Below are 10,392 nucleotides of genomic sequence, written 5' to 3' on the forward strand. Positions count from 1 at the left end.
CTTCAGTCTTTCATGATTACAGGGACCGCCGGGTTCGGCTCGTGAGCGGCTCCCTGCAGTGGAGGCACCACCCGGGCGCTTGACAGAATCCCCGCCCCAGCCCAGCCCTGCTGGATCAGAGTGGACATTTTACGGACCCCAGGAGGTCCCTACGGTCAAAGTCTGAGAAGCCCTACTCTGGGGCGCATCTGCTTTCAACATTCATTGAGAGTCATCGTCGTGCTTAAAAGCAGTCAGGTTTGGAATTCTGAGGAATTACTTAACCTGAGCCTGTTTGCAGGGAAAAAAAAAAAAAGCGGGATAGTAATGGTACCTAATTCTAGGGTTGCTGGAAGGGTTAAATGTGACATTCAAAGAAGGCACCCAGCACTGCATGGCGAGCACTCAATAGGTGTTAGTCCTTCATCAACAAATGCGTTGAGCACCCAGTGGGTGCTATACCCTGTGCTGGGGTGGAGATAAATCAGACTCCTGCAGCCCTTCCTGGAGCAGATGCCAGCCCACCATAAGCCACTCAGCATTTCCTGAACTCCCACTAAGTACAAAAGATAGTCTCTGTACTGGAGGAAAGCTGCCCTCCCCTACTGCCATGAAAAACTGGCAGTTTCCTTCCTGCAAAAGGGCAAATTTGGCCTTGAATTCAGGAACCCCACATCCTGAGCCCAGCCCTGCCACCAACTTGGTTCTTGAGTAACGTTGCTGCTGCTGTGGTCTTCAGTTTCCTCATTTGCAAAAGGAATTGGATCCGATTATCATTAGGGTCAACTTTCTCCTCCTCCAAAACTTGTGGTCTTGCACCTTCAGGGGAGCTATTGCAGTGGAGACTACTTAGCTGATAGCCCAAGATGTGTAACCAAGGCTGGAATTTCTGTATCCCTCACCCCACCCCGTGCCTGCCCACCCCTCCCGGTGCACCACTTCTTTCCTTCTGGTGTTGGCTGGCAGCATCTGCATTCTAAGCAGCGGGGAAAGCTTTCGAGTTCCTTGACCTTCATCTTGACTTGAGCCGAGGTTAGCATTAAAAACACAAGCCCAGAGGCAGCCAGCCATGCTCTGCTGCTCCTACTCCCTTCCCGGGACCTGTCCCTGATGTCATAACTGGGTAACTATGACAGCTTGTCATGGGGACAGCTAGGCACCTCACAGAGGAGTCTGGGTACCTCATTTCTGAAGTGAGACTAGGAAGAGAAGATGAACAATTCCCTGGATTATCTGGCCTACCCTGTTATCGTCTCTAATCACAGGCAAAGCACAACCTTCAGAAAGAAACTGGACTTTGGCCACTACGTATCTCACAAGAATAGAATACAAATAGGTATGTGGGCAGTTTGGGCTGGACACTGCTATTAGGGATTTTGGAATGGTACCCCATAAAGAGATCAACAGGAAACCAGACCAGGTCACAGCTTTGGGATGATATGGCCTTATCTGCTGAGTTTGGGGAAGAGGGCATTAGCACCAATAACAAAATGTATCTTCCACCAGGGAGTTCACTGGATGGAAATACTCCTTTAAACTCCTTAAAGCCGAAGTACGTTAGAAAGGGGATAAGACTTCAGAAGCCAATAGACAGGCTAATAATATTGGAAAAAGATTGGAAGAGAAGCTCTTTCATTGGATTAGAAGGACATTTATCTCTGTAAATTTTATTTTCACTATTCTTTTGTTTCTGCTCAAAACTCTCCAGAGATGTTCATTTGATAAATCAAACCAAACTTCTTGAGTCGCATTAAGGTCCTAATTCGAAATTGTTCATTAGTCAAGGACATTGTCTAGTGCTGGTTTTCTGAGGCCGCTACTGGAATTCCTGTGATGTAACATTGTTCCCTTTTATCCCCCTTCTCTAGCGAAGCCTACTGTTGATACCAAACCTCCAGTGGCGCACACAAATCACATTTTAAAATTGAGCAAACTACAGGTATTTGTTCTTGCTGCTTGCAGATGTGCAGATGTATTTTATTGACTTCCAGTCTGTTTCCTAAAGAGGTTCAATTTCCCAGAGCCTTCTAAATACCCATCTACTCAAAGATTTGTTAATACTCCTCCTCCCCACGCGTCACCCCCAGTCGTTTTTTTCCCCCCTGATACGGAGTCTCGCTCTGTTGCCTAGGCTGGAGTGCACAATCTCGGCTCACTGCAACCTCCGCCTCCCAGATTCAAGCAATTCTCCCGCCTCAGCCTCCAGAGTAGCTGGGATTACAGGCATGTGGCACCATGCCCAGCTAATTTTTCATATTTTTAGTAGAGACAGGGGTTCACCATGTTGGCCAGGATGGTCTTAGTCTCATTACCTCCCGCCTGCCTCGGCCTCCCAAAGTGCTGGGATTACAGGCGTGAGCCACCGTGCCCGGCCGCCCAGTCTTTTAAGTTCTGCTTCCAGTCTCCACTGTGGCCCTCAATGCACCCCTTTCCCACGATCTCAGAGGAGGGGAACACTAAGTCATTGTGTGTTGGGGCAGTGCACTGATGGTGTCACCATGGTGAGGTGTGGTTTCTTACCAGGGTGAACAAAAGAAAATCAACAAAATCGAGTATGAAAACAAGCAACTGTGTCAGAAAATCGCAAATGCCCATCGCGGCCCTGCCAAGGTGGATTGCTGGAATGAATATTTTTCCAAGAGGTAATGTTCTTTGTCTTCATTTCAGTTTTGAAAAGTCAAAATTGACTTTCCTCTTGGGTTTTAGTGTGAGGTTTTCCCAAGTCAGAGAAGTACTTAAGGGAAGTTATCTTGAGGGAGAACCAAACAGACCATGTTACACAGAATGAAAACTTTAAAAATGGGGACCTTTCTCTAGCATTAAAGAGCTTTTATTTCATCGAAGAGACTTTTCAGAGTCCTATTCAGTGTGTCACAAGAATGCACTGCGCACTTTTATAAAATGGTGGCCATGTGTCTTAGTCCATTATAGGGCGCTATAGCAAATTGCTATAAACTGGTGGCTTATAAACAACAAAAATTTCTCATAGTTCTAGAGGCAAGGAAGTCCAAAGATCAAGGTGCCAGTAAATTCGGCATCTGAGGAGGGCCTGCTTCATAGACAACCATCTTTTCACTGTAACCTCACGGGGCAGAAGGAGAAAGAGGCTTCTTTCATAAGGACACTAATTCCATTAGGGTGACCTAATCAGCTCTCAAAGGCCCACCCCCTAATACCATCACCTTCATGGTTAGGATTTGAACATAAGAATTTTGGGGGACACAGGCATCTGTTCCATAGCACCATGGCTGGGGCTATGATGTGACATTCTTAAAATCAGTTCCAGAAATCTTTCCTGAGCAACTACTATGTGCTAGGTACCAGGAATAATAAAGATGAAATGAGATGTATATTTCCTTACCTCAAAGAACTCAAGGTCTTGTAGGGGAGATATTTATGGAAATAATGACAATGCAGTGTGATTAGGGATACAAAAGAAGCTCATGCAAGAGAAAGAATTTGCTGGGGGCGAGGAGATGGTCAAGATGCCATTCTATATCCTGGTATATTCTGGTATAAGTTGAAAGCTGAGAGGAGTGAGGTGACCCAAAACTTGTCGCCAGCCGTTTGTGATTTATTCACAGGGAGACCTTCCCCCAACCAGAAGTTCTCAATCCTGGTTTTACATTATAATCCTTGGGGAATTTTAAGAAAATGCCAGTGTGCACGGTTCACCTCAGATCAATGAAGTAGAATCTTCTCATGGGCAACAGGGTTGAGGACCACTGATATAAACCTGCGAATGCGGTGCATGTTTCCCGGAGTGCAGTGCAGACCAACAGGCTGTCCCAGGGGCCTGTGGGCTCAGCAGGACAGTTTACTCCCTGCACTTAGACAGTCTGGCATTTATGATCTCATGACTTCATCTCCCCCACTCGTCAAGATGAGCATTTCCTTCTTCACCCATTTCGGGGTTTTGTGTTTTTCAGCTTAAACAGAGAAACAAGGAACCGCGAGCTAGTGAGAATCACCATGGAAAACCAGGGCATTCTGAAGAGGCTTGTTGATCGCAAACCCCACTATGACCGCAGGGCATCTGAGATAGACTGGCAGGCACGTGGGCACTCATGTTATACTCCCAGACACACACAGAGTTTGTCGGTGTTCAGCCTAGAGAGAGTCTCAGAAAAATCCCTGAACAGCTAGAGTCAGATCACATGAAATGTAACAATCGTTAAAAGAAAAACCATCCAAAGCAAACAAAGCTAACAGGCACAAACCATCAAACAAACAGCTAAAACAGCTTGGTAGCAAAGCCATTATGTGTCAGTTTCATAACATAACAATTATGTGTCAGTTTCAGAAAAATAATCTAGTAGCGTCTTCCCTCACCCCTTAATTCATTAAGAAAGGCTGAATGTACAGGGATGAAGGGTATAAGATTCAGTCAGTATGCGGTTGGTTTGCTTCATTTAGGAATGACCCTTAAAAAGGCCAGGGGAGGGGAAACCATCTGTGGTGTTTTAAAAAACCTCCACTTACCGACTTTGGTCTTTAAATCTTTTCTAAGTCATCCCTGGGATTTAGAACTTCAGTAATAGCACCAATGCCCTGGCATTGACATAAACCAATTTTTTTCCTTCAAGAATTCAAGGCGCTATATCAGAAATACCACGAGATATCTTCTCTCCCAAAATGAATAGGTATGTCTCTCTTACTATCAAACACTGTGACCACAGCTGATACCAAAGCCCTGAGAACCCCATAAATGGCGAATGAGGGGCCCAGTTAAGGAGACGGATTTTGCTCTTCTCATATAATATTGACTAGTCTTCCATTCGGGAAACTTGGGGCTCTCTGACTTTATTTCTTCTCTCCATACAAGAAGGAAATGACATTGTCTTTTGTCATCATCTTTGAGGCTTTGTGGGAGTCTGAGGGGAAGTGATTTGTTCCAATAAGACATAAACTGGAAGACCTGTGGCTTTAAAATTGTGCCAAAGTTACATTCCAGGTCTCTGTCAGTATTCAAAAGTACCAGCATGTTGTCATTTTGTATTATTTAACATTATTAGTGATGACTAAGTGGTTTCCCCCACCCAAGGGAGAAAGATAAATGGACACTTAGGCGTTCCAAAGAATAGTTCTGTATAATTGATGTGTCTCCTTCTCTCTTCTCCACTGAATACAAGGTTACTCACCATGGAAAAGATACAAGAGAAGGCCCTAGGATTTCTTGGCTGCTCAGGATCTCAAGACACTCCCGACTGGCTGAATGCTCCATCTTCAGATGCTTCAATAAAGCTTGGAACATAAAATGCGTAAGTTACATTTAGGGGACCCAAAGGCTTTATGTTCTCATTCCAAAATGGGGCAGGCAGAAGGAAAGATGCAATGAGCATTTTTATTTGGGGCTATGAAAAGAAGTTTTAACGAGAGAGAGAGAGAGAAATCTGAGAGAACTCTTTAAAACATACACCATCATCACCATCCCGTGGAAGAAGAAAAGCTGGGGTGAGATCATCCAGCCACAAGTACAGCACTGTCAAAATGGAAAACGAAATCACATGACAACATCAAGGTTCAGAAAACACAAGGAACAAATGCCATTAGTTCCTCTGTGAATACACACGATCGGAAAAGAATGCCTCATTGAAGTTTCCATGGACTCTGTTCATTTATAGGGAGCAGCAGCAGTGAAAATGTCTCAAAACATACGGTGAGACAATGTTGCAGGCCTGCTATGATTGGTCATGCTAGTTTTCAGCCCAACTATATTAGTCAGCATTTGCCAAAGAGACAGACTCAATAGGAGAGAGAGAGAGAGAGAGAGAGTGAGAGAGATAGATAGAGAGTGAGAGAGAGAGAGAAAGAGAGAGAGAGAGGAGAGGATTTATTTGGGGAATTGGCTCACAAGATCATGGAAGCTAAAGAAGTCCCACCACAGGCCATCTGCAAGCTGGAGACCCTGGTGGAGCAGGGCAGACAACCCCCAAAGTGGGGCTTAGCCTGCGAGTGTTCTTGGCTTCACCCAGGAAAGAATTTAAGGGTGAGCCAGTGGTAGGGTAGAAGAAGACAGTTTTATTGAAGCAGCAGTGTTACAGCTCCATGACTGCTCCTGCAGTACAGGGCTACCCCAAAGGCAGAGAGTTTTGCAGTCATAGTTATACGTACTTTTAATTACATGTAGATTAAGGGGCGGTTTGTGCAGAAATTCTAGGGAAGGAGTAGTAATTTTTTTTTTTTTTTTTGAGATGAAATCTCACTCTGTCGCCCAGGCTGGAGTGCAGATGGCGCGATCTCAGCTCACTGCAACCTCCGCCTCCTGGGTTCAAGCGATTCTCCTGCCTCAGCCTCCCAAGTAGCTGAGACTACAGGCACTCGCCACCACGCCCAGCTAATTTTTGTATTTTTAGTAGAGACGAGGTTTCACCATCTTGGCCAGGCTGGTCTTGAACTCCTGACCTCGTGATCCGCCCGCCTCGGCCTCTCAAAGTGCTGGGATTACAGGCGTGAGCCACCATGTCCGGCCTATAGGAAAGGGTAGTAATTTTTGGGTCCTTGGGTCATTGCCCTGGAAAGGGGTGGTAACTCCTAGGTGTTGCTACGGTAATGGTAAACTGACATGGCACACTAGTGGGAGTGTCTTATGGAAAGCTGCTTCCACCCCTTTCCTGTTTTAGCTAGTCCTCAATTGGATCCTGTGTCCAAGCCCCGCCTCTGGAGTCAAGGCCTGCCTCCCACCTCACTGGGATGCTGGTAGCATGGCTTGGTCCAAGCCCAAAAACCTCAGAACCAAGAAGAAGGTGGTGTAACTCTCAGTTCGAGGCCAAAGGCTGAGAACCCACTAGGGGGGACAAGGGTGCTGGTGTGAGTCTTGGAGTACAAAGGCCAAGGAGCCTAGAGTTGTTGTCCCAGGACAGGAGAGGAAGAGTGTATTCCAGTTCCAGCAGATAGATTGACATATTCGCCTCTTGTCTGTTTTTGTTCTTTCTGAATCCACAGCAAGTTGGATGATGCCTCTCCACATTGAGAGTGGATCTTCCCACATAGTTCACTCAGACTTACATGCTAATCTCCCCTGGAAACACTCACAGACACACCCAAAAATAATGCTTTACCAGGTTTCTATTCAGTCAAGTTGGCACCTTAAATTAACCATCGCACTGACTTTTTAAACTTTCTATTTTGAAATAATGAAAATTCACAGGTAGTTGCACATAAAGGAACAGGGAGGCCTCCTGCACCCTTTACCCAGTCTCCACCAATGTTAGCATCTTGCGTAACTGGAGTACAATATCAAAACCAGGAAACTGACATTGGCATGATGCATGGAACCTATGCAGGTTTCATCAGTTATACATGCACTCATTTTTGTACATATATGTATAGCTCTATGCGGTTTTTGCCACATGTATAGCTTTGTGTAACCACATTCGAGATACTTAAAACCACTATTATCAAAAGACACTCTTATTGCCACCCTTTTAGCCACAGTCACCTCAGACCCTCAAGCCTAACTCTTGGCAATCACAATCTGTTTTCCACCTCTCTGTTAGTTCATGGTATTACGTAAATGGCGTCATGCAATGTATGTTCATCCTTTTGAGATTGGCTTTTTTCACTCAGGATAATTTCCTTGATGTTCATCCAAGTTGTGTGTGCCTTTTTATTGCTGAGTAGTATTCCATGGTATGGACATGCTACAATATATTTAACCATACATCCATCAAAGGACATTGGGGTAGTTTCTAGTTTTTCAAACATTATTATTATTATTATTATTATTATTTTGAGATGGAGTCTCATTCTGTTGCCCAGGCTGGAGTGCAGTGGCACGATCTTGGCTCACTGCAACCTCCACCTCTGGGGTTCAAGCGATTCTCCTGCCTCAGCCTCCTGAGTAGCTGGGATTACAAGCATGCATCACCAGGCCCGGCTAATTTTTATATTTTTAGTAGAGACAGGGTTTCACCATGTTGACCCGGCTGGTCTCAAATTCCTGACCTCAGGTGATCCACCTGCCTCGGCCTCCCAAAGTGCTGGGATTACAGACATGAGCCACCACACCTGGCCTGATTTTTTAAATAGCAAATTTTGAAAGTTATTTACATATTATAGGAATAAGTCCTTTGCCTGCTATGCGCCTTGCATGTATTTTTCTCCCAGTCTATAATTTGTCTTTTCATCCTCAGGGTCTTTGACAGAGTAAAATATTTTTATTTGGATGACATCCAATATATCAATGATGAAACTGTTCTATATCTTGACTCTATCAATGTCAATATCCTTGTTGTGATACTGTACCATATAGTTTTGCACTATGCTACCACTGGGGGAATCTGGTAAGGAGTTTACAGGATCTCTCTGTATTATTTCCTACATGCATGTGAATATACAATTATCTCAAAATAAAAAGCTTAAAAAAAACAACATGCCTAAATACAAATTCATTATTAACTGGTTCCAGTTAATCTCAGTTTGAGGAACAACCATTCTTCTAGACACCCAGGTTAAAAACCTGAGGTCATCTTTTACTTCATTCCTTCTCTTTCCTCCTATCCCCCTCCCTACATATCTTTTTTTGGTTTTTTGTTTGTTTGTTTGTTTAAAGACAGAGTCACTCTCTTGCCCAGGCTATGGTCTATGGAGGTGATCTTAAAGCTACAAGTCTTATGTCTCAATCTCTGTATGAGCTACTGCCATATTTCAGGCACTTGTGATTTGCAACTTGCATTACTAATGCAAAAATACGCCCATATCACTTTCTAGCTTAATGGCTTCCGTGATTTGCCATTCTTGCATAATGGGCTGGAGCTTTATATAGAGCATACAAGGCTTTTCATGATCCAGCCCATGAACTGCTCAGGTTATATTAGTTATAGTTTCAAATGTTTGGAGATTTTCCAGTTATCTTTCTGTTATTAATTTTTAATTTGATCCCATTATGTCCAGAGAATATACTCTATCATTTCAATTCTTTTAAATTTGTTAAGGTTTTTTTAAATCAAGGTGAATATTTTATGGACATTTGAAAAGAATGTGTATTGCACTGTTATTGGGCAAAGTGTTCTATAAATATGTTAGGTCCCGTTGGTTGATGGTGTTCAGTTCTTCTACATCCTGATGATTTTCTCTCTAGTAGTTCTATCAGTTGCTAAGGGTGGGGTGTTGAAATCCCCAACTCTAATTGTGGATTTGTCTATTTCTCTTTTTAACTCTGTTTTTGCTTCATATATTTTGAAGCTCTGGTGTTTGGCACATACACATTAAAGATTGCTATATATTTTTGGTGGATTGATTTATTGATTTTTTTTTTTTTTTTGAGACAGGGTCTCACTCTGTCACCCAGGCTGGAGTGCAGCACACTGCTGAGTGTGATCTCAGTTCACTGCAACTTCCATCTCCTAGGCTCAAGCAATCCTCCCACCTCAGTCTCCCAAGTGGCTGGGACTATAGGCACGCACCACTGTGCCCAGCTGATTTTTGTATTTTTTTTAGTAGAGATGGGGTTTCATCATATTGCCCAGGCTGGTCTCGAATTCCTGGGCTCAAGCGATCCGCCCACGTTGGCCTCCCAAAGTACTGAGATTACAGAAGTGAGATCTCTTTATTATTATATAATGTCCCTCTTTGTCCCTAGTAATTTTCTTTCTCTGAACTTACTTTATCTGATATTAACATACTCAGTACTGCTTTCTTAAAATTAGTGTTTGCATGATGTATTACCTTTTATCCTTTCACTTTCAGCCTACCTGTCTCATTATGTTTGAAGGAACATATACTTGCAGACAGCAGATACAGACAGTCTCTGACTTACAATGGTTTGACTTAAATGATTTTTTTTTTTTTTTTGAGACGGAGTCTCGCTCTGTCGCCCAGGCTGGAGTGCAGTGGCGCAATCTCGGCTCACTGCAAGCTCCGCCTCCCGGGTTCACGCCATTCTCCTGCCTCAGCCTCCCGAGTAGCTGGGACTATAGGCGCCCGCCACCATGCCCAGCTAATTTTTTGTAGTTTTAGTAGAGACGGGGTTTCACTATGTTAGCCAGGATGGTCTCTATCTCCTGACCTCGTGATCTGCCCACCTCGGCCTCCCAAAGTGCTGGGATTAGAGGCGTGAGTCACCGCGCCCGGCATGATTTTTTTTTTTTTAACCTTATGATGGTTCAAAAGCAATATACATTCAGTAGAAATCATACTTTAAGTACCCATACAACCATTTCTATTGTTCACTTTCAGTACCGTATTCAACAGATAACATGACATATTCAATACTTTATCATAAAATAGGCTTTATGTTAGGTAATTTTGCCCAACTATAGGCTAATGTAAGTGTTCTGAGCACATTTAAGTTAGGCCTGGCTAAGCTATAATGTTTGACAGGTTAGATGTATTAAATGTATTTTTGACTTTGAATGTTTTTCAACTTACCATGGATTTATTGGGAACATAACCTCATCATAAGTCAAGAAG

At 43.6% G+C, this 10,392-nt stretch overlaps 1 protein-coding gene across 2 annotated transcripts; it reads left to right on the forward strand.

The window, feature by feature from the left end:
* Positions 1-1,163: 1,163 nt before the first annotated feature.
* On the forward strand, positions 1,164-8,349 carry CFAP97D1 (CFAP97 domain containing 1). 2 transcript variants are annotated; one of them, NM_001136483.3, is made up of 6 exons: positions 1,164-1,315; positions 1,848-1,918; positions 2,503-2,621; positions 3,909-4,032; positions 4,566-4,622; positions 5,112-8,349. In NM_001136483.3, exons 1-5 carry the CDS (start codon positions 1,192-1,194, stop codon positions 4,620-4,622), a joined length of 495 nt encoding a protein of 164 aa, NP_001129955.1. In that variant the 5' UTR covers positions 1,164-1,191; the 3' UTR covers positions 5,112-8,349. The 2 variants fall into 2 exon arrangements, with proteins under 2 accessions (NP_001129955.1, NP_001340329.1); NM_001353400.2 differs by lacking the exon at positions 3,909-4,032.
* Positions 8,350-10,392: the final 2,043 nt, after the last annotated feature.

The sequence above is a fragment of the Homo sapiens genome, chromosome 17, assembly GCF_000001405.40.
Source record: "Homo sapiens chromosome 17, GRCh38.p14 Primary Assembly".
Taxonomy (NCBI): Eukaryota; Metazoa; Chordata; class Mammalia; order Primates; family Hominidae; genus Homo; species Homo sapiens.